This window comes from Homo sapiens, chromosome 4 (genome assembly GCF_000001405.40).
Source record: "Homo sapiens chromosome 4, GRCh38.p14 Primary Assembly".
NCBI lineage: Eukaryota > Metazoa > Chordata > Mammalia > Primates > Hominidae > Homo > Homo sapiens.
Genome location: NC_000004.12, coordinates 153,200,175 through 153,223,698, shown reverse-complemented (window position 1 = coordinate 153,223,698; position 23,524 = coordinate 153,200,175). Strand labels below are relative to the sequence as shown.

The 23,524-nt window shown below is 43.2% G+C and overlaps 1 protein-coding gene across 31 annotated transcripts in view, besides 6 other annotated features; it reads right to left on the bottom strand.

The window, feature by feature from the left end:
• Positions 1–23,524, bottom strand: part of TRIM2 (tripartite motif containing 2) — a 187,155-nt gene that overhangs the window by 115,619 nt on the left and 48,012 nt on the right. For 16 of the 31 annotated variants that reach the window (NM_001375516.1, NM_001351057.2, NM_001375488.1 and 13 more), the window contains exon 1: positions 19,139–19,256. The exons of 10 other annotated variants lie outside the window; for them this stretch is intronic. Coding sequence is in view for 12 of the 21 variants with exons in the window: in NM_001375488.1 (NP_001362417.1) it covers positions 19,139–19,168 (30 nt within the window). In the remaining 9 variants the exon portion in view is untranslated. Of the gene's footprint in view, positions 1–659; positions 1,457–19,138; positions 19,257–23,524 lie in introns of those variants that run through there. 5 more of the 31 variants (NM_001438621.1, NM_001438624.1, NM_001438623.1 and 2 more) reach the window with 3 other exon arrangements.
• Positions 586–775: a silencer, noted in NCBI's record as "silent region_15756". NCBI's record gives its function as "represses an Ori minimal core promoter by ATAC-STARR-seq in GM12878 lymphoblastoid cells {active_cell/tissue: GM12878}" and the evidence as "EXISTENCE:reporter gene assay evidence [ECO:0000049][PMID:35858748]".
• Positions 1,166–1,495: an enhancer, noted in NCBI's record as "active region_22049". NCBI's record gives its function as "activates an Ori minimal core promoter by ATAC-STARR-seq in GM12878 lymphoblastoid cells {active_cell/tissue: GM12878}" and the evidence as "EXISTENCE:reporter gene assay evidence [ECO:0000049][PMID:35858748]".
• Positions 1,166–1,792: a biological region, named in NCBI's record as "H3K27ac-H3K4me1 hESC enhancer GRCh37_chr4:154143059-154143560".
• Positions 1,291–1,792: an enhancer, noted in NCBI's record as "H3K27ac-H3K4me1 hESC enhancer chr4:154143059-154143560 (GRCh37/hg19 assembly coordinates)". NCBI's record gives its function as "activates a minimal SCP1, AML or CMV promoter by ChIP-STARR-seq in primed H9 embryonic stem cells {active_cell/tissue: H9 hESC(primed)}" and the evidence as "EXISTENCE:reporter gene assay evidence [ECO:0000049][PMID:30033119]".
• Positions 13,674–14,499: an enhancer, noted in NCBI's record as "NANOG hESC enhancer chr4:154130352-154131177 (GRCh37/hg19 assembly coordinates)". NCBI's record gives its function as "activates a minimal SCP1, AML or CMV promoter by ChIP-STARR-seq in naive H9 embryonic stem cells {active_cell/tissue: H9 hESC(naive)}" and the evidence as "EXISTENCE:reporter gene assay evidence [ECO:0000049][PMID:30033119]".
• Positions 16,800–17,705: an enhancer, noted in NCBI's record as "OCT4-NANOG-H3K27ac-H3K4me1 hESC enhancer chr4:154127146-154128051 (GRCh37/hg19 assembly coordinates)". NCBI's record gives its function as "activates a minimal SCP1, AML or CMV promoter by ChIP-STARR-seq in primed H9 embryonic stem cells {active_cell/tissue: H9 hESC(primed)}" and the evidence as "EXISTENCE:reporter gene assay evidence [ECO:0000049][PMID:30033119]".

Sequence of the window (23,524 nt, the reverse complement as noted above, 5' to 3'; positions counted from 1 at the left end):
TGGGGTTCACAGAATGCTTTGGATCTGACAGGCATTTAGTGAGACGAACCGTCCTCCACACTCCCAGCTTTTTATCTACTTTGTCAGCGGCATGCAGCTTTCAACACCGGGCAAGTATTTTCAGAATACATACACCAACCAGAAAGAGCCCTGCAAACCCTCAAAAGTCACCATCTCCCTGCTCTAATAAGCCCGAACTGTAGTACGAGCTGGGGCAAAGAATAAAAGAGGAGGCTAAAGGAAGGAAAGTAGTTTTAGGAAAATGACCAAACATGTTTTTAAAGAAAAAGAGGAAGCCGATCTTTTCAAAATTACTACAGTCCTGCTTTCAGATTGCTCAGTATCTTTTTTTCTCTGCAAAATGACTTTGAAAGCTATCCTGCATGACGCGGGTGACTGAGGACGGCAGAGGTCCGCGACTCCCGGGAGAGCTCCGCGGGCAGGGCCTGGGAGCCGCGCGGCGTCCAGGTTCTGCTGCTCAGCGGCCCTGTTGCTGACAGCTCTGCGCCGCGCCGACCCACTGCACCCGCTCCAGGCCGGCTGCCAGCCCCGCAGCGCCCGTCCGGAAATGGACTCTGGGCAGGCTTCCCGCACGCTCCGGCCACCGGACCTTGCCCGGGCGGGAGGGTTCCCAGGGCACAGCCCGAGCCACGACTTACTACGAGACGGCGACTCGCTTCGCGGGAACAGCGCGCGCTCCGGAGTGGCCTGGGCCTCACCCCTCGGGCCTGGGCCTCGCTGCGCGCCCAGCCAGGGCCGAGGTGCCCTAGCTCACGACATCAGGCAGCGGGCAGGCGACCCAGGACTTCGCACCCGCTCCTCTCCGCCTCCTCCTTCCTCCCCCGCAGCCGCCCTTCTGCAGCCTCAGGCGATCTGAAGGTGAAACTGCTTTATCTAAGGCCGTTTTCTGAGCGAGCGGCTCAAGTAGTAAAAACAGACCAGAGGAGGAAAGTCGGCCTCCTGGCTGGACTCTGAATGGCTTTCACCGGGTGTCCTCGGCTCCAAATGGCTCTCTGGTCGGTCATTTCCATTCTGTGCTCAGGCCCAGAGCAGTAAGACATCTGTTTTCCATCAACCGCGAGGCAGAGGCAAATCCTGGATTAGATGTCGCCCGGCGCTCGCAGCATTTTCAGGCCCGGCACGACAGCTAATCCCCGCACAAAGAGCATGAAAACAAACACGCAAGTTGGTGCCCGGTTCCAGAAAGATTTCCCTGTGCGATGACTAAAGGCTCCTGCAGCCAGCCTCCAAGATGGGCCAATCGCAGCACAGCGGGGCAGGAAAAGGGGGTTGGCTCGGTTTTCAGGTCTCCTGAAAACGCATCCTCTTCCCCAGTCCCGTAAACACAAATGCAAACACTGTCCTTTCAGGGGAAGTGAGTTCAGCTTGACGGGGCTGAGAGAGCTGAAACGGGCCGGCCTCCATCATGACAGTTCATTATAAGCAAGCACAGCTCCTGAATGTGAGCGAAGAAAAAAAATCTCTGCGTTTCCTTCAAGTGAATGTTAACAAATGAGTCAAGTATGATACAATCAGTCCTGCAAATGATAAGTCATGACTGTCTCTTTAGGCCTTTTTACTCCGTAAAAGAAGTTGGAGTAGGGACCCTTCCTCTCTCTCTCTTTCTTTCCTTCCTTCCTTCCTCCCTCCCTTCCTCGCTCTTTCCTTCCTTCCTTGCTCTTTCCTTCCTTCTTTCCTTCCTTCCTCTCTCCCTTCCTTCCTTCCTCCCTTCCTCCCTCTTTCCTTCCTTCCTCACTCTTTCGTTCCTTTTCTCCCTCTCCCTCCCTCCCTTCCTTCCTCCCTCCTTCCTTCCTTCCTCCTTCCCTTCCTTCCTCTCTCTCTTCTTTCCTCGCGCTTTCCTTCCTTCCTTCATTTCCTCCCTCCCTCCCTTCCTTCCTCGCTCTTTCCTTCCTTTTCTTCTTTCCTTCCTTCCTTATTTCCTCCCTCCCTCCCTTCCTCACTCTTTCCTTCCTTCTTTTCTTCTTTCCTTCCTTCCTTCCTCCCTCCATCCTTCCTTCCTTACCTTCCTCCCTTCCTTCATCTGTCACAAGGCTGAGAATACAAAGCTTGAAAAAGCATGAGTCTACTTTCAAGGGCCTTATCTTCTTTGGGGGGCAGAGGGGAAGGTGGGGAGGGACGACCTACAATTTCAAAACACTATGAAATGATAGAAGTGTATGGACAGAGGGTTATAGGAACATAGAAGCAGGAAACGAAGAAAGGCCTCCCAGAGGAGGCTGCATTTGTTTGGTTTTTTTGTTTGTTTGTTTTGAGACAGGGTCTCGTTCTGTTGTCCAGACTGGAGTGCAGTGTCACAAACATGGCTCACTGCAGCCTTGACTTCCTGGGCTCAAGCGATCTTCACATCTCAGCCTCCCCAGTAATTGGGATTATAGGCACACCGCCACACTTGGACATTTCATATAAATGAAATCATATAATATGTGTGGGCTTTTGTGTCTGGCTTCTTTCACTCAGCAAAATTTTTTCAGTTTACTCAGGAATCCACGTAGCATGTGTCAGTACTTCATGACTTTTTATTGCCAAAGAATGTTATATTATATAAATACACCACATTTTGCTTATCTGTTTAACATTTGATAGACATTTGGATCGTTTCCACTGGTGGCTAGTATAAATAATGCTGCTATGAACATTTGAATGCAAGTTTTTGAGTTGACATATATTTTCATTTCTCTTGGGTATTTACCTAGGAGTGAAATCACTGGGTCATACGCTAATTCTATGTTTAACATTTTGAGGAACTGCCAGACTGTTTTCCAAAGCAGTTACACCATTTTACACTACCACAAGTAATGTATGAGGGTTTCAATTTCTTGGTGGGTGTGAAGTGGTATTTCATTATGGTTTTGCTTTGCATTTCCCTAATGACAAATAATGTTAAGTATCTTTTCATGTGCTTGTTGACCATTTGGGTATCTTCCTTGTAGAAATGCCTACTGAAATGTTTGCCCATTTAAAAAAATTTATTTTTAAAATTAGGGTTAAATATATATAACAAAACTTACTATTTGTTACATCAAAATGTATATATACTGTGAACAGTACATTTACATTGTTGCAAAACCAACACTATTTGCCCATTTTAAATTGTCCTTTTAAACTTGTCTTTTATTGTTGAGTTCTCACATTCTGGATGTGAGTTCCTTATCAGATGTGTGCTTTGAAAATATTTGTTCTTATTCTACGGGCTGTCCTTTCACTTTCTTGATGGTGTCCTAATAGTCTTTAATACATTTCTTTTACTTTCAGACTAACTAGAGTTAGTCTGTTGTCAGAAGCTAAGAACACTCACAGATGCACTGTGTCCTGTTAAATGCCATCCTTTTCTATAACAACCTGTCTCTCATCATATCTTCTATCCAATATTGCCTTAGAACTTTGATTTTTTTTTTCCTAAAGCTTTTCTCATTCTATCTGAATCCCACCTACGTCTTATATTTACTGGGCACAGACTCAAAGCATCAGCAGTCACCACCAACACAATTATGAGCAGTTACCAGTGGCCTTCCTATTTATTTCCCACTTCTAACCCAATTCTGGCTCAAAACCCTGCAGTCAAGGGCAATGAACTCCCCGTCTCTTAACTCCTTTTACACTGTTCCTCCCTTTCCTCAATTACATTGCCATAGCCACATGGGATCTTATGAGATCAACGTCCTATTTAATCTCTGGATCATCCTTAGTGCCCAGGACAGGGCTTTGCAAAATCCTGGATTACAATAAATGTGTATTAAATGGAAATGAATCTTGTGCTCTATTTCCTTCATTTTATTTTATTTTACTCATTTTATTTATTTTTATTTTTTCGAGACAGGATCTGACTCTGTCACCGAAGCTAGGGTGCAGTGGCACAACCTCGGCTCACTGCAACCTCTGCCTCCCAAGCTCAAGCCATCCTCCCACCTCAGCCTGCCGAGTAGCTGGGACCAGAGGCATGTGCCACCTCACTTGGCTAATTTTTATATTTTTCAGGGAGACAGGGTCTTACTTTGTTTCCCAGGCTGGTCTTGAACTCCTGAGCTCAAGTGATCCACCCATCTTGGCCTCCTAAAGTGTTGAGTTACAGGCGTAAGCTACCGTTCTAGGCCCATTTTTAAAATTCTAAAATAATATTTATGCAGTCCTTGATTTTAAACTTTTCTCTCAATGGCCACATGTGGAAGATGAGGGCCTGAAACTGGGTTTCAGGGCAAATCTGTGGTGTTCAATTTAGGAATGAAAAGGTGGAATTCTTTTGCAAAATAATTTTTAGAAGTTTGTGAGATGGTCAAAGAAGGTAGGGCTTCACAGATAAAGTTCTCAGGACCCATAAAGGCACTAAGTAGTATTATTTGAGGGATCAGAAGTCTAAGGTGAATTCATTTCCTGGTAGGTTTTTTTCTGGCGGATCGGGCTTTATGACTGCCACTCCTCAACAGTTGGGTCTGCTTCTTGCATGGCACTCTGAAACTTTGGATTCCAGACTAACTGAAATGCACCTCTTTGAAATAGCTGGAAAGAGCCAGTTTCATTCTGTCATAAGATCAACCAATGTTTACTGAGCACACACCTTATGTAAAACACTACCCTGGGCACACAGAGATATGAGATTCGTTTCCTATAGTAAGGAGTTGGATGACTAATGGGTGCTATGGTTAAGATAAACACAATTAACTATAATCCAAAGCAGAATGGGGGGGGTCAGGACAAGGACAATCATCTGTAATCCAAAGCAAAGCGGGGTGTTTTACTCTCCATAATAGAGGCATAAAAAACTGTTTTGAGAATTCAGGGAAGAAGTAATCACCTTTTTTTTCTTCTTTGAGTAGTAGAAAAGGCTTCCTGGAGAAGGTAGGGAAGGAGAACTAGTCTTTTGCCTAAAAATTTACAATTTCTACACCACAATCCTTACTCTTCAGTAACTCCCTTACTAGTTGGGAAGAAAGTCATACATACAAGTGGCTACAACTCAAGACCATATATGAAAAGACTCATTTGGAAGGGTCACAGAAAAATGAGAGAGCACTTCCTAAAGCCCAGGAAATACTATACGGAAAGGGTAGACTTGTAGACTTGACTTGGGACCTAAAAGATGGAAAGGATGTATTAAAATGCATGTTTTTGATAAGAGGCAATTAAATATTCTAGAAAATTTGGAAAACCCATAAAAGTATAAAGAATAAAATAGATCGGGCACAGTGGCTCACACCTGAATCCCAGCACTTTGGGAGACCAAGGTGGGAGGATCACTTGAGCTCAAGAATGGGAGGCCACCCTGGGCAACGTAGAGAGACCCTGTCTCTACAAAAAGAATAAAATAATTAGCTGAGTGTGGTGGTGCATGCCTGTAGTCCCTGCTACTTGGGAGGCTGAGGTGGGTAGATTGCTTGAGCCCAGGAGCAAAAGGCTGCAGTGAGCTGTGATTGCACCACTGCACTCCAGCCTGGGTGACAGAGCAAGACATAAAATAGAAATCATTTACAGATCCACTGCCTACAGATAAATCCATTGCCAGACATACAATATGCTTAATAAATATTTACAATTGAATAGGTGAATAAATTATATTACCATTTATAGTCTCTATTTTTTCTTGTACGCAACTGCTTTTTACAAAGGTGGTACCAATTTACATTCTCATTAGCAATGCATGAAATTAAGATACACATATTCACCAGCAGTGTTATTTTTAAATATTTGCAAATGATAGGAAGAAAATAATAACTTCCTTCTGAAATTTAGATTTATGGGATCATTGGTGATGTTGAACATTTTACATATGATCATTAACCATTACTATTTCCTTTAAATTGCCTATTCATGATCTTTGTACATTTTTCTTTGGAGAACTTGGAGAAAATCTGAAATTTTCTCAATCTTGGTTCCCCTGTGGCTATGACTGTGTGAACATCCTGCCATGGTAAGTGTGATTTACTTTCTAAAAATAAATTCTTATCCTTATTCTCTGTCTCTCCCTGCTCTCCAACATAGCCTCTAAACATAGCCAACTGCTTCATCTGGTGATCAATCAAAGAAATCATGATTTGTTGCAACACTGGAAGGACATCTTGGTGGTGTGAGAATTACTGAGAGGCAGTATGTTCAGATTGTCAAGCATCACTGAGTCACTATGACTCTCTTTTTTAAGTGCTGGTTTTAGAACTTAACTTCCTCCTATGCTGTAAAATTAAACTTCACAGCAATTCTTGCACTGACTCCCTCAGTTTCAACTGACCTGCACTTTCTTGCCTTTGAAGTGTCTGTTCCTGCTGAGTCTGGGGTGGCCTTTTCTTCATCTTCCCCTGTCCAAATCTTGCCTGTTCCTGACGAATTTCAACTGGTACCCATGGATGAGAATGACCTCTTTCTCTGAATCCCATATACTTTGTATTTCAGTGACAGCACTTCCAGCCTCCTGGGTACTTGGGTTATCTGTACATGTACAGATACCTCATCTGCTTATTACCCTGTATACTCCGTGGGGAGTTTATGTCTTCTTTATGTCTAGGGTCCCATAATTCAATTAGCAGAAACCCCAAAACATTTTACAAATTAAAAAATAAAATCATGTCATTTAACAGAAACATGAGCAGAAAAAAAGAGCCACTTTGAAAGGAAAATCAAAGCTTAATTTTCAGTTGTATTGACTGTGCTCATGGTAAGATGTTGGGGAGAAATAAAAGTTCATCTAAACAAAGTTCATCTAAATCAAAGAACTCACAGAATCTCATTGCTGTGGCCTGAATGTGTGCCTCCAACTTTGTATGTTGAAACTTAACTGCCAATGTGATAGTATTAAGAGGTTGGTGCCTTTAGGAAGTGTTTAGATCATGAGGGCTCCCCTTTCATGAACGGATTAATGCCTTTATAAAAGGACTTGAGGGAACTAGCAAGCCCTTTTGTCCTTCCATCCCCTTCACAATGTAAAGACGCTCACGGCACCACCTTGGAATCAGAGAGCAGCCCTCAGCAGACACCAAACCTCCTGGTGCCTTGCTCTTGAACTTTCCAGCCTCCAGAACTAAAAATAAATTTCTATTGTCTATAAATTCGCCAGCCTCAGGCATTTTGTTATAGTAGCACAAATGGACTTGGACATTCATCTTGAGAACTTCTGGGGATAGAAACTAAGGGAAGCATTGAGAGACATGCCTCCTTTTGTCAAAAGAATGTACAAGCTGCCCTCTTATTCTGCAGCCCTTTAAACCCTCTGCAGGAGAGGAACAGAATATCATGAAAGTTGCAACTGGAGTCTAGGGACTAAGGAAGTGAACTGGGACAAACAATTAATTTTAGATTGAACATAGAGTCAGCACAGGAAAGTAAGTACTAAAATAATATTAAAAAATAGCTGGGAAATTGACAAGAAAATTGCTACTGGCTTCCATTAGAGTAAGAGCATACTTTCTTGTAATATTTTCTTGAAATGATGATACATTGATCTTCTTTGACTAATCCATTAGCATAGAAAGATGTTTCTTAGTCTCCAGGGATGCTTACTCAATAGAGGCTCCAGGTCACATTACAGAACCATACACTGCTTCAAACCAAATATTAAGAAAGAGCACATGACAAAGCCAAGACAGAAAGAGAACAACTCTCTTTGGAGTCTTGGTGATTTTTCTCAATTGCTTGCCAAAAATCCCACTCATCATAAATCTGCTTATTTTTAATATGTGTCAGGCTTTTGAAGTTTCCAGCTAAAAACCTCATTTGCATAAACCAACAACAAAAAAATAAAAACAGGCAAAAAAGTTTTTTGAACTGTATTGCTTGGGACTAGTGTGACTGAATGTTTAATTCTCAAATTACAGATGAAAAAACAAATAAAAGGAACCATGAAAGGGTTTCTTTTGAAATCTTCTATCCACAGTGTGAAAAAAAATGATAATTGATTTATTTTCTTATTCTTTATATTAATCATAGATTTCAATGCCTGTTTTTAATTTCCAAAAGGCTATATTCCATATGGAGGGGTTTTATTTAAGAAACCTTTTTTCTTGCAAACCCCCATATGTTGAAATTTTTAATAAATATAATTCAAAAACAGAGAAGTGCACAAATCCTAAGGCAACAGCTCAACGGAATATCACAAAGGGATAGTAACAGGGTAAAAACACCATCCAGAACAAGAATTGGGATATTTCAAACACTCCAGATGCACCCCTCCCTAATGTAGTTTTGAGCTTTTTTTTTTATAGAAATATGATAAATGGCAGCAAGAGCCCAGATCAGCCCACAAAAACCAGAAAATGTACTTGGACTCTAGCAAAACGGCACCACATCAACATCAATGTTTCCATGGGGAAATGCATTTTCAGCTCTGAACAGTGATCCCAGGGTGCATGCCCCAGACTCATGATCCTTGAACCCCAAGGGTTTCCAATGTAGGGATTCTTGGTGGGTGGGCCTATGTGGAGGAGAGGAGGAGGTATGTCTAGATCTCAGTAATCAGTTCCCAGTCTACATCAGCTTCAGGGTCTAAACAAGAGAAAGTGGCACTTTAGCCAGGCATATGCCAGGTATACTGACTTAGGAAAAAGATGTCAGTTAGGGGTTCTAGTGAGGCACTGAAGTGTATGTTCGAGTTAGTGTGATTTGCAAGTTGCATCTGCCTGTATAATAGACATTCAAGAGAATTAAGAAATGTACATTTAGGGAACCAGTGTGGGTGAAGAATGCTAAGTGAGGCTAGTATATAATTGTTACTTCTGTTGCAATGACTGATCGTTGTAGATTTTCTCTTTAACACCTGATTCCAATTAAAAGCAAGCATTCTAATGTTAATAGCTTAACATTGAAAAAAGAACCTACTACAGCAATTTTATTGTGTTTTCTAGTAGTTTCCAAAATCCTCAGAAAATAAAAAACACCTAGTATGCTTGTCAAAACACAGATTTAAGGCTCCAACCCAGACCTCCTAAATCAGAACTTACCTAGGGGAGGCCTGATTATTTATGACGATCTAGCTAACAACACCTCTTGGTACTTCTTATCATCAGGAAAGTACAAGAAACACTGGCTTGGTCTAAGAAATACGAAAGAGGCATGTGTTCAGTCAAAAGTGCAACATAAACCTTAGTTGCTGTTGTCGTTATTCATAATGATGAAAATGATGTGGAACGCTGAGAGGCTGCTTTGGACAAAAATTTTCCGTAGGGTAAACAGTTCTGGTTCCAAATTTTCTTTATTGTTTCTTTTGTTCCAAGATTCTGAGTTACAAAAAGCAATTTTACAGATACCTGATACTGTCTTCAGCATATTAGATAGTTCCTCTTAAATAAAACTTGCATTTTAAAATGGACAGAAAAGAGTTTGACCCTCTTAATCTCTTAAATCCAAGCTCTCCTCAACACTATGCAGGTTATTGGAGGCTATGCTGGTCAGGTTTTACTGCCCAGGGACTTAGAGGGGCATCTCCATTTATCAGTGGCTTATCTAACTTTTAGAGTCCTTGATCAATTACACAGTGCTCATGGAAATGCAAATGAGCATGATCAATCAGTGTTATTGAAAAGCACTTTTGTAAGATGTATCAAAAACCTTTTAAATGTTTATATCTTATGCTCTAGTAATTTCACTTTAAAAATCTTTCTTCTTGAGGTACAATCAGAGGTGTGGTCACAGATATTGTCTAGACACTATCATAAGAGTACCAGCTCTGGGTTTCAATGCCAGCCCATCCACTTTTTTTTTTTCTTTTTTCCTCACTATGTCTTATGGTGCTAAGCTGCCACTTTCTAATTGTGCAATCTGGAACAAAATATGTAGCCAACTGTCCTGTGCCTCGTTTCCCTCTTCTGTTAAATGGTAATAATAGTAGGTTTGTTACAAAGATTAAATTCGTTAAATAGTAATAATAGTAGGATTTGCCAGGCACAGTGGTTCACACCTGTAATCCCAGCACTTTGGGAGGCCGAGGCGGGTGGATCACCTGAGGTCAGGAGTTCAAGACCAGCTGGCTAACATGGTGAAACCCGTCTCTACTAAAAATACAAAAGTCAGCCAGCCATGGTGGCATGCACCTGTAATCCCAGCTACTTGGAAGGCTGAGGCAGGAGAATTGCTTGAACTCGGGAGGCAGAGGTTGCAGTGAGCCAAAATCGTGCCACTGCACTCCAGCCTGGGCGACAGAGCGAGACTCTGTCTCAAAAAATAAATAAATAAGTAAAAAATAATAGTGGGATTGCTACAAAGATTAAATTAATTAAGATGCATAAAGAACTTGAAACAGAGCCCATCACTTTGTTAGCGATTCGACAAATGTTAACTATCATTATAAGCTATTATTGCAAAAACATTCATTGCTGTATTATTTGTGATAGAAAAAAATTGAAACAAGTTAAATGAACAGAAATAGAAGCATGAAGACATATTTTTGCACATTCATGCAAAAGAATATAATGTACCCTGGAGGCATCACATAATGGTTAAAAACACAGGCTCTGGAAACTGAATGCTGGCCTGCCCCTGACCAGCTGTGCGGCTTGGGACAATTTTCTCAACAATCTGAGCCTCAGTTTCCTCACCTGAAAATGGAGAAGAACAGTAATAGTGGGCTGACTGGCTCATACACATAAAGCACTTAGAACAGTTCCTGGCACACAGTCATTGCTTCATCAGTTAGTCTCTCCACTTACAGTCAAGTTGGTAGCCTGGCAGACTGGTGATATCTCATGCACACAAAGCTTCCCAGGCAGTAGCTGTGAAAGTACATGCCCTGGTAGGAGATGAACTGAACAAAGCCTAAATTTCCCTTTGTATGAATAGACAAAATGACTGATGCAAGCCCAGGCCTGGAGGCTACGTGCACAACCACCATGCAAAGGAACTGGAAAGAGTTGTTTCACTGCAGTACCAGAACAGACTGCTTTGATTAAGAGAAAAAAGAAAAGGGAATAAAGAAGACAGGCCCCCAAACAAAACCACCCACCAAAGCCACAAACAAGACTTGGCAAGAGAAAGGAGCTGAAAAGGCTTTCCTAAATCTCCAGTCTGCATCCACCTCTTTTCTTTTTCTTTCTTTTTCTTTTTTTCCTAGAGACAGAGTCTCACTTCGTTGCCCAGGCTGGACTGCAGTGGTGCAATCACAGCTCACTGCCTCGAACTCTCAGGCTCAAGCAATTCTCTCTCCTCAGCCTCCTGAATAGCTGGGACCACAGGCATACACCACCACGAGTGCAGCTTTCTTACATGGAAATATTGCGTAATGGTGAAGTCTGGGCTTTTAGTGTACTCATCATCTGAGTAATGTACATTATATCCAATAGGCAATATTTCATCCTTTATCCCCTTCCATCTTCCCACCTTTTGGAGCCTCCAATGCCTATTATTCCACTCTCTATGTCCACATATACCCACTGTGTACCTCCCACTTATAACTGAGAACATGCAGTTTTTGGCTTTCTGTTTCTGACTCATTTCACTTAGGATAATGGCCTCCAGGTTCATCCATGCTGCTGCCAAAGGCATGATTTCATTCTTTTTATGGCTGAGTAGTATTCCATGGTGTATATGTACCACACTTTAATCATCATCTGTTGACAGACACTTAGCTTGATGACTTTGCTAAAGGACAGCTTTATTTCTCATAAGGGTTGAAGCCTGCAGAGAGGCCATTCTGACAGGCTGGGAAATGTAGCCTACCGCCAGAAGCTAGAAGCAAGCACTTCCTCCTCACTGAGTTTTTGAAAGACTAAGGGAAAGAGAATAGAGAAGGGATATTTCCATCTACCGGGGAAAAGATGTGCAGTAACAAACCATCTTGGGAGACAGCCTTCTCACAGATTTAGAAAAGTATATTTAAATTTTGATGAAACTTTTCAAGTATTAAAGTTTGAGTTACAAGCACAAGAGAGGATAAAACAAATCCAAGCAGAGATTCAAATTGTCATATAAGAATTTGTAGGCTGGGTGAGGTGGTTCATGCCTGTAATCCCGCACTTTGGGAGGCCCAGGTGGGCAGAGTATTTGGGCCCAGGAGTTCAGAGACTAGCCCAGGCAACATGGTAAAATCCCATATCTACAAAAAAATAAAAAATAATTAGCCAGGCATGGTGGTGCATGCCTGTAGTCCCAGGTACTTGGGAGGCTAAGGTGGGAGAATCACCTGTCTGGGAGGTGAAGGCTGCAGTGAGCCATGATTGCACCACTGCACTCCAACCTGGGCAACAGTGTGCAACCCTGTCTCAAAAAAAAAAAAAAAAAGAAAAAGAAAAAACAAAAAAGCAAGCAGGCAAGCAAAAACAAACAAACAAATGAACTAAGATCTGCTCCCATGTTACCCCACCTTGCTCCTAAAGGTTGGATGTAGTTTCTTTTATCAAGGAGCAGGTTTACAACCAGCCTTGGAAGCCTGGAAGGTATTGAGATGTTTCTCTGACCCAGTAACCCCAATTCCTAGAAAGGACAGGGATCAGCAGTCACTACACTCTTCTTCCACCCAGCCCTGTCCAGAGCTGACCTCAGGTTACCTCACTGTCAGCAGCACCCCCTTCCTCAAGGACCCTGCCCCCAAAACCACACCTGGAAGCTTGAGACACCACCAGGTCGGTGTGCAGATGGCCGCTATGGATTCCTAGTGAGCATGGCTTGTGAGAAAAAAAGGCAGCCTCATATTGGAAGCCTGTGTTTCCTGAATGCCCCTGGACAGTGATGAGGAGGGGTGGGTAGGCTGCCATTGCCCCATCCCCTGTCTCCTCCCAGCCCTCCAGTGACAGCTCAGACAATGGTGCCCTGCATGTCTGGGTTTACTGCATGTGTTGAGTGTGGGAAGAGGGCTGCTTTTTTCAGATCTTGTCACTATCCTTCCTTGTCACAGTTCCAACACGGCTTCTGGGGCTTCTAGGGTCACTGCTGCCTTATGGGGTCTTTTCATTTTCTTTTTGTAATGGCCAGCATTAATATTTATGCTGTGCCTCCAGTATGTCCAGAACACACAGAGTGTCCAGGAAACACAAGAGCTAGCCTCACTGAAGTGTATTTAAAGGGGCCACATTTCTAAGAAATCACTGATTGCTGCTGTTTCGTTAAAAATGCTCTCAAGAAAATAGAATCATCCAGTGAAGAGCACAAATCAAGAATCAAATATTTTGAGAGCTCTAGTTCCTTCCTTTTGGTCCCCAGTGGAATAACCTGCATGTCAGTGAGCTATTAAAAGGATTTGGCTCCATTTGGCATTCCTGGAAATGCAATTATTGCCCAGTTGCCTGTGAAACATTTGGGGACCCATGAAAAAGATGGCCTTGCAGATTTCACAGGACTTTTGCTGCGAAAGAGACTCCTCAGCAACATTTTGCTTGATGTCCCTACATTTAAAATTAAGTCACCCAGCCCAGGCACGGTGGATCACACCCGAAATCCCATTACTTTGGGAGGTCAAGGCAGGCAGATCACCTGAGGTCAGGAGTTTGAGACCGGCCTGGCCAATGTGGCAAAACCCTGTCTCTCCTAAAAATACAAAAATTAGCCATGCGTGGTAGCAGGTGTCTGTAATCCCAGCTACTTGGGAGGCTGAGGCAGAAGAATCGCTTGAACCTGGGAGGTGAAAGTTGCAGTGAGCCGAGATCTCGCCACTGCTCTCCAGCCTGGGCAACAGAGTGAGACTCCATCTCAAAAAAAAAAAAAAAAAAAAAAAATTAAATCACCCAATGTGGCAACTAGGAATATCTTGGAAAACTATATGGATTTGAAAGTATCTTGAAAAGCACAAATGCTGTTTATGGTGCATGATTCTGAGATCAGGTTACAGCTTTAAAGTTCAGTTGAAACTCTATTTTATTCTCCTGCAAAGAGTGAGAGAAGTCATATGGAGGAAAAAACCCATCCTTGGAAGGTCTCTGGTGGGATATACTTAACTACTTACCATATCAAAGAACACACATTGAAAAGTGCCAGACCAGGTTTAGAGTGAGGCTTTGAGGGTACTACAGATTTAAATGTCTTCCTCCCACACACTAAGGAATAGATCTCATTTTTCAAGTTGGTAACGTTCGTGAAGTCAGACACTGACCCTTTGTCTCCCACGGTTTCTAGAGTCAACAGTTTGAGGAATTTCATTGAAGTTCTATTTGCATAACAGTTGCAAAATGTGAAGTGTACCATTCCCTCGGTTCCAACTTGTTAAGTACGGTACTTGAAGGCACAGGTGGACAGTGGGCAAATACACCTGGTAGTTAAAGACCTATATATCAGGAAATGCTCCCTTAAAAAGCTGAGCAGGACTGGAGGTGTGATAAGGGATCTTGTACCCAGCATGTGCCTTGAGGTGAGACTATGCATATCTAAACAACTCCCAGGGCCCCTCTAGGGAGTGCAATTCCAGTTGAGTTTTCTGATTCATCTTCCATCTTTTATGGGGGTGGGTCCCTTGAACATATCGGAGTGATAAAACAGCATGCTAATAAGTGTGGGAGGTGGTGTGAGTGTCCCTTGTTTGAAAATTTAAGTAGATTTAAAAATTCTCAAATGCAAGGGATTATGAATGTAAACCACATTGGTGTTCCATTACTCTAGTTAGGGAGGCATTGGGTGCACCAAGGTCACCAGGCTCCCTGCTCCTTACGTGCCTTCAGGGGCCTGTCCACCATTTTTCCTGATTCCGCTGTGTTAGATCTTTGGCTGCTGGACCTCAGTTTTCCCAGGGTTTTTCATAAAATGGGCCTGGTGAAGAAATGACTCCAGTCTTGTCAAATCTTAGGAAGAAGGAATTGATGCTGGATCTTCTGAACGAACACATTTCTTTGTGTGTGTGGATATGGTTCTCAGTACCCACCCACTGCTCCAGATGTGCTCCCAGCTCCAGACCTTGCCTTGCAGGCTCACACTTTTGTAATGTATGGAAATTGTAAATGTTCTCTGCTTGGAATCCTCTGGAGCATCATCTAGAAACCTCCATCGGGATGGATGCAGTGTTCCATCTGGGAGGGAAAAGGAACGACCCCATGCCAAGCACTATGGAGGGCAGTCTACATGTTCTAGCTTTCCATTCTCATCATAGCCCGATAAGGCAGACAATATCGTTCCCATTTTCAGGTGAGGAAAACAAGAACTGGAGAGGGTAAGTGACTTGCCCAAGGTCACTAGCAGTCAACCAGCAGACCTGAGACTCGAGTTCAGCTCTGTTTGACCTATGTTCTGGTCTTGACACATCTACGGGATATTATATTTTCCATACAATTTACTATGAAAATTTTAGATAGTGACAAATTTTACATAAATGAGTTTTAGATTTATTTATTGTTTATTAAATAATAAAATTATTTATTATAATTTTAGATAAAGATAAATTTATCTAAAATTGTGTAATTTCTTTGTGTAAGAAATTACACAAATTTCTTCTTGTGTAAAGTAACCAACTTGAATGTATCATTACCTCCTGTGAAAATAAAAAGTGTACTTTCCTTTTGAGACAAGGTCTTGCCCAGGCTGGAGTGGACTGGCACAATCATAGCTCACTGCAGCTTCCACCTCCCAGGCTCAAGTGATCCTACCGCCTCAGCCTCCTGAGTAGCTGAGACCACAGGTGTGTACCACCATGCCCAGCTAATTTTTATTTTTATTTTTTAGAGACAAAGTCTAACTATGTTGCCCAGGCTGGTCTTGAACTTTTGGCCTCAAGCGATCCTTCCACCTTGGCCTCCCAAAGTGCTGGCATTACAGGGTTCACCACTGCACCTGGCCAGAAGTGAACTTTTCAAACCACACACAAGACCCATCTATTATTCCTGGATGAGCCTTCAACATGGATAAGCATGATCAGCAAGGAGCTCAAGGGTGATTTCAAACCATGTTTAACTTACGGCTCATGAGTTCCTCCGGGGAGATTTCTGTCAGATCTAAAGTCATAGACAGAAGCTAGAATGGACTTTGAAGATCATGCCTCAGGACAGATAGAAAACCGTGACCCTGAGGGACTCCCTTTTCCAGAGCCACCTGCTGGCCAGTCCCGGATGGAGACCAGAACGCTGATGTCCAGCCCGCCCTTCTTTCCACTGCACTGCATTCTCTTAGCATTTCCTTTATCCAATGTCACCAGTAAATCAGAGAGACATTTGGTAAACTTAGATGGTATTTAGGACTGTCGTTAGATGCTGGTAGCAGTCATAATAAAATAATTAATATTCACTGAATATTTGCTGTGCACTGAGTGCTGTATAAGGAACTTTGATGCATGACCACATTTAAACCTCACAATCATCCAGTGAAACAGATTGTCATCCCATTATTTGGCTGAAGGAATACAGACTTAGGGAGATTTGGTAACTTGCCCAATAACATATAAGTAAAACAACGAAAGTGAGGCTGGACTCCAGGTTCGTCTGAATCAAAGCTCTTGCTCTTAACCCCTTGTTTTTAAACCCGTGTTCTTTGGCTTCTGCCTCTGTGTGTCGTCTGTCCCCCATCGGCCACCGCACCGCATAGGCCTACCAGTGTGGCTGGCCCTTCCTGGAATTTAGCGAATTTTACAGATAAGGGAACTGGGGCACAGAGAGGTTAGGGAACTTGCACAGAGTTACACAGTGAGTAAGTGACCTGAAGTGTGAATCATGAGGAAGGTGTGATATTGTGATTTATAATAAGAAATATATATTTGGTCTTGTCTCTGCTTCCTGGCACATAGTTCTTAAAATCCTTGCAATTGGCTGGGCATGGGGGCATGCACCTGTAATCCCAGCACTTTGGTAGGCTGAGGCGGGAGGATCTGGAGGATCGCTTGAGCCCAAGGGGTCAAGGCTGCAGTGAGCCATGATCATGCCACTGCACTCCAGCCTGGGTGACGGAGCAAGACCCTGTCTCAAATTTAAAAAAGAAAGAAAGAAAACCCCTTGGAATGTACAAAGTGATAAAGAGCCTTTTTGTATGCTAATGAGATGATTGACGACTGAGGGCTCCCAGATTGCCTCTGGAGGGGGCTGGTTGCCAGGGGAACCAAGCAAGTGATTAGAGAGTTGGAACTTTCAGCCCCTTTCTCCCTACTCCACCCATACACACCCCCTGACCCTGTTTCCAGGGAGCAAAGAGGGGCAGGAGGTTGACTCAATCACCGATGGCCAATGGTTTGATCAATCATGCCTTTGTAATGAGGCCTCCATAAAAACCCAAAGGAGCGGGTCTGGAGGGCTTCTGGATAGCTGAACACATGGAGACGCTGGGAGAGTGGCGCCCGGAGAGGACATGAAAGCTCCAAGACCCTCCCTAGCCATCTCTTCACCTGGCTGTATGTATTCATTCAACTGTATCCTTTGTAATACCCTTTATAATAAACTGGTAAATGGAATTAAGTGTCTCCCTGAGTTCCGTGAGCTATGCTAACAAAACAGTGACCCCAAGAAGTCAATCTCTGACTTACAGCACAAAGTTAGACAAAGTTACACAGCTTGTAATCTACCTGAGGAAGGATCGTGAGAACTTCTCATGGATAGCCAGCTAGTCAGAAGCACAAGTGACAACCTTCAGCCTGCAACTGGCCTCTGAGGTCGGGGCAGCCTGGTAGGACTGAGCCCTTAAACCTCAGGGTCTGCACTCACTGCAGTTAGTGTCAGAATTGAGTTAAACTGTGGGACACCTACTTAGGTGGGAAGGTGAGAATGCATTGACCTGACCAAATGGGATTTGTGAGGCCTGCGGTGGGCCTGGAGGGTGAATGATGCACACCTGTCCTTTCCCTTTGGAGCCTCCACCCCACCTGGGAGAGTCAAAAGTTCACTGGCAGAGTCAGAATTTCCATTCCTTGTCAGGACCTCCTCGTGGGGTGACTCATCCCTCTCCAGGGCTCTAGGACCGCACCAGGAGAACCTGGCCTCACTTAGAGACTGCCTGTTTTCATACAATGGGTTCAAGCATTCATGTTGCTTGGCGTCAAATTCATTTGAAAAACACCCTTTGTATTCTGACTTAATACCTCCAGGATCCGCAAACAGCATGGTGGCTTTAAACAAGGTGTACCTAGATAATAGATACAAGTTGAGGGAATTTGGAGAGGTGGGGAGACTTTCAAAGCATTAAATGTATTAAAGTCCCATGGTTCACCTCTAGCTTTATGTAAAAATTAAACCTCACCTTTTCATTTTATCAGGCTCCTGTCGATAACAAACACAAACCGCAAGTTCACTGACTCCACACCACGGGGCTCACCAGAAACTTATCTGATCAAAGCTGCCGTAGGTGATTCTTTTTTTCAGCAGGAGGAGGAGGACTTTCTAAAGCAACTCCCAGGACTCGAGATGTTGTAGCCCCCTCCCCACCTTACAGGTCGCAATGACAGCACAACCCTTTCCTTGCCCTTTGCGCACCCCGTGAGCTACGACAGGTGCCTCACTGAGCACCGAATGGGCCAGCCAAGAGATAAAGCAGGCACCAAAGACCGGTGCCTGAGTGGTTTTCCACCCTCACCCATTCACACCCCGGAAACCAGCAAGCACCCCGAGGTGTGGCTGGCTGAGCCCACATCAGGCTTCACCCCCGACTCACATGGCGTCCCCAGGCTCTGCTGACTTCTCACTTGGGTAGTCAAGGACAAACGCTCTATTCACCTGGGGCTATTTCTTCATTCCACAGTCGCACGGCAGAGGGACATAGTACCCTTTGAGCACTTTTATGGGGCAGTAAAACTTTACAGTCTCCTGTCTGCTCTAAACTGTTCCCACATTTCTGAATAGACCTATTTATAACATGCAAGACTACTACAGTTTGCCCTTTGAAAATACTAGCAGATATTAGGTCCTTTCAAATGGGGTCGACTGAGTTACATCGGCTAGCAGCTGGCTTACAGAAACCCCGGAGAGGCCCAGCTAAGCTCCTGACTGTGACTACCTATGTTAGGAAATAAAACAGCATTTGAGTCTCACAACATCACTGGAACTGGCCTTATGCTTTGCCACATTCATGTTGCTTTGGTGTCAAATCCAGCTGTGTCTCTCCCTCGATTTTTTGCTTCCTTACTCCCTTCCTGCCTGGATTAACAGAGCTCACTGTGAGCTTTGTCAGCAAATCCCAGTCTTTTCCTTCCCTCTTCTGCAGGGAAAAAATTAAAACCAGGAAAAAGTAGCAACCCAATCACAACTTGTTTCTCCCAGCCCCGGATTAACCAGCTGGCCCAGAAAAAGAATTATCCCACATTGAGAAGCGTCCTTACCTGCGTTCCATAACGGCCACTCCTGTGCATCGAAGACCAGAGCCAGCCTCCTCCAATCTGGGGACTTAGCTCCCCGCAGCCCGCAGACAACTGGGCCCATTATAGTCATCAAGCTGCCGAGTTAAAGGGTGGCCCTTACTAAAATATAAACAGCTAGTCAGCACAAGCCAAAGGGGCGGGGCTACAGTATCAGGGGACAATGAGAGCCAATGATCAGCCTCTTTGGGCTCTGTTTGCTTAAGATATTGTGTTTCATTCCGAAGTAGGGGAGACGGGAATGAGAAACACTGAAGAGTAAGGGCTGAGTTATCATCTTTACAGCCCCCAGTAGGAAAAGCGTCCAAGTTGAAAAGTTTAAATCACTGCCCACAGAAGACCAATTTCAGGAAAGTGTTTGTAGACTGCACACATAATAATATGTATTTTTAAAGCCACAGATATTTATGTTGCATTAGCTATCTGTTGTCTTCCGGGGTTAATAAATGTGGTATTCATGAGGTCAACGGGAGTTTTTCAACCAAAGAACAAAGGCCAAGAAAGTTAGTTTGATGACATGCTTATTTTATTGAATATACTATCTGATCAGGAGCACTCACCTCATCTACAGAGCAAACACTTGTTTGATTGGCACATCTTTATTTTATTTATTTATTTATTTATTTATTTATTGAGATGGAGTCTCGCTCTGTTGCCCAGGCCGGAGTGCAGTGGCACAATCTTGGCTCACTGCAACCGTAGCCTCCTGGGTTCAAGTGATTCTCCTGCCTCAGCCTCCTGAGTAGCTGGAATTACAGGAATGCACCACCACACCTGGTGAATTTTTGTATTTTTAGTAGAGACGGGGTTTCGCCATGTTGGCCAGGTGGGTCTTGAACTCCTGGCTTCAAGTGATCCGCCCGCCTTGGCCTCCCAAAGTGCTGGGATTACAGGAGTGTGCCACTGCGCCTGGTCTACTATTTTTTTTTTTTTTTTTGAGACAGAGTCTTGCTGTGTTGACCAGGCTGGAGTGCAGTAGTGTGATCTCAGCTCACTGCAAGATTGGTACATCTTTAGAACCCAGAGATATGGATTTATTGTATGCCCAAGTCAGCAAAATGGCTCACATTTGATGTGTTTATGTTCTTCTTCGTGTGTGTGTGTGTGTGTGTGTGTGTGTGTGTGTGTGTAGAGATGTGGGTCTCACTATATCACCCAAGGTGGAGTGCAGTGGCTATTCACAGGCACAATCATTGTGCACTGTAGCCTCAAACTCCTGGGCTCAGGTCATCCTCCTGCCTCAGCCTCCCTAGTAGCTGGGATTACAGGCTTGCACCTATAATCATGCCAGACCATGAGCATTTCATTTGATCAAACATATCAGAAGTTCAGTATATTTGGAAGAAGGCAGGAGAGCCGTGGCTTCTTTCTGTCTCCCAAACTTAACTAAATTCCACTTTTTTTTTTTTTTTTTTTTTTTTGAGATGGAGTCTCGCTCTGTCACCAGGCTTGAGTGCAGTGGCACAATCTTGGCTCACTGCAACCTCCACCTCCCAGGTTCAAGTGATTCTTGTGCCTCAGGCTCCTGAGTAGCTGGGACTACAGATGCGCACCACCACGACCAGCTAATTTTTGTATTTTTAGTAGAGACAGGGTTTCATCATGTTGGCCAGGCTGGTCTCAGTCTCTTGACCTCGTGATCTGCCCACCTCGGCCTCCCAAAGTGCTGGGATTACAGGTGTGAGCCACCGCGCCCGGCCTTAAATTCCCCTTTTAAAGCTATTACAGCAGCTTAACCTTCCAATGCCCTTTGATAATAACCAAGAACCAGAAAGTAAACTGTAGGGCTTTTTTTCCTTATATGATTTCTTTTTTTTTTTTTTTTTGAGACAGAGTCTCGCTCTGTCACCCAGGCTGGAGTGCAGTGGCGTGATCTCGGCTCACTGCAAGCTCCGCCTCTCGGGTTCAGGCCATTCTCCTGCCTCAGACTCCCGAGTAGCTGGGACTACAGGCGCATGCCGCCATGCCCGGCTAATTTTATTTATTTATTTATTTATTTTTTAGTAGAGTTGGGTTTCAGCCAGGATGGCTGGATCTCCTGACCTCGTGATCTGCCCGCCTTGGCCTCCCAAAGTGCTGGGATTACAGGCACGAGCCAACGCGGCTGGCCTCCTTATATCATTTCTAAATAATACACTGAAGTAAAAATAAAGTTAAGAGTTGTTTGGTTGATTGTGTGGCATTGCATAAATTATAGGCATACAAACTGTGAAAAGTACAGTCATTACATTTGAAATAGTTTCATCATTTATAAAGTGATATAGTAGTTATCAAAATGAACACAGTAGTTGTCAAAATGAATTATCAGAGAAAAATGTTGAAACGTATTTATTTTCCGCAAACTTTTTCTCAAGCCCTTCTGATTATAAAAATAATAATCCCCAAATGCCATCCTTTCTAATCTATATTAGTTTGAAAATGTTTATGATTCTGCCACTGGTGTTTAATTTGTATTAAAGTAAAATTCCTCCAGAACCTTTTCTAAATGATGTATGAGGCTCCTTCTGGCCCTTGTATCCTTCTAATTATTTCAAAAGAGCTGTTACATCCATACTTTCACAATTTTGACTTTAAGGTACAGGTTACCTTCCTGAAATAATCTAGTTTTCTTCTAAGGTGTGTGAACCCAGAAAATCTGAGACAGCTCTCAATTAACCTAGAAAGTTTATTTTTCCAAGGTTGAGGACACGCCCGTGACATAGCCTTCACAAGTGTTAGGATCCTGTCATTTTAAAAAGCTTCAGGACACCATGAGCAGCCAAAAGAAAAAAATCGATAAATTGGACTTCGTTAAAATTTTAAATTTTTTCTTTCTTTTTTTCTTTCTTTAGAGACAAAGTCCTACTCTGTCACCCAGGCTGGAGTGCAGTGGCCAGATCATAGCTTCATAGCTCACTGCAGCTTTTACCTCCCATCCTCAAGCTATCTTCCTGCTTGGGCCTCCCTAGTGCTCAGAAACCACAGCACATAACCAAAATTAAAACCTTTTGTGCTTCAAAAGACATTATCAAGAAAGTGAAAAGACAACCTATAGAATGGGAGAAAATATTTGCAAATAATATATCTGATAAGGTTCTAGTATCCAGGATATATTTTTAAAACTCCTGCAATTCAACAATAAAAAGACAAACAACCCAACCTAAAGATGGGCAAAGGTCTTAAATAGATATTTCTCTAAGAATAATACATAAATGTCCAACAAACACATGAAAAGATGCTCAACATTAGTCATTAGGGAAGTGCAAATCAAAAACACAATGAGGCTGGGCACGGTGGCTCACGCCTGTAATCCCAGCACTTTGGGAGGCCGAGTTGGGTGGATCATCTGAGGTCAAAAGTTCGAGACCAGTCTGGCCAACATGGCAAAATTCTGTCTCTACTAAAAATACAAAAATTAGCCAGGCGTGGTGGTGCATGCCTGTAATCCCAGCTACTCGGTAGGTTGAGGAAGGAGAATTGCTTGAACCCAGGAGGTGGAGGTTGCAGTGAGCTGACATCATGCCACTGCACTCCAGCCTGGGCAACGGAGCAAGACTATGTCTCAGAAGAAAAAAAACCCAAAAAACCAAATGAGACCAGGCGTGGTGGCTCATACCTGTAATCCCAGGAATTTGGGAGGCTAAGGCAGGAGGATCACTTGAGCCCAGGAGTTAGAGATTAGCCTGGGGAACATGGTGAGACCCGGTCTCTATTAAAAAATAATAACAATAATAAGGAAAAAAAAAAAGAAAAAAAACCACAATGAGGTGCCACTTTACACCTACTAGGATAGCCATATATATATATATATATATATATATTTTTTTTTCTTACTAAAAAGGAAGAAAACAAGTGTTGAGGAGGATGTGGAGAAACAAGAACCCTGGTACATTGCTGGTGGAATGTAAAATGGTTCAGCTGCTGTGGGAAACAGCTCTACAGTTCTTCAAAAAGCTAAACATAGAATTACCATATGAGCAAGCAATTCTACTTCTGGATAGATACCCAAAACAATTGAAAACGGGGGCTCAAACAAATACGTGTACATCCCATATTCATAGCAGCACTATTCACAATAGCTAAAGGATGGAAACAGCCCAAATGTCCATCAAAAGATGAATGGATAAACACATTGTGGTTATATACAGTGGAATATTTTTCAGCCATAAAAAGAAATGAAGTTCTACAACAAAGATGAATCCCTAAAACATTATGCTAAGTGAAAGAAGCCAGACACAAAAGGTTGCATATTGTATGATTATGGGCAACACAGGGAGACTCCCTTTTCTAAAACAATTTTAAAAATTAGCTGGCCGGCTGAGCACAGTGGCTCACGCCTGTAATCCCAGCACTTTGGGAGGCCGATCACTT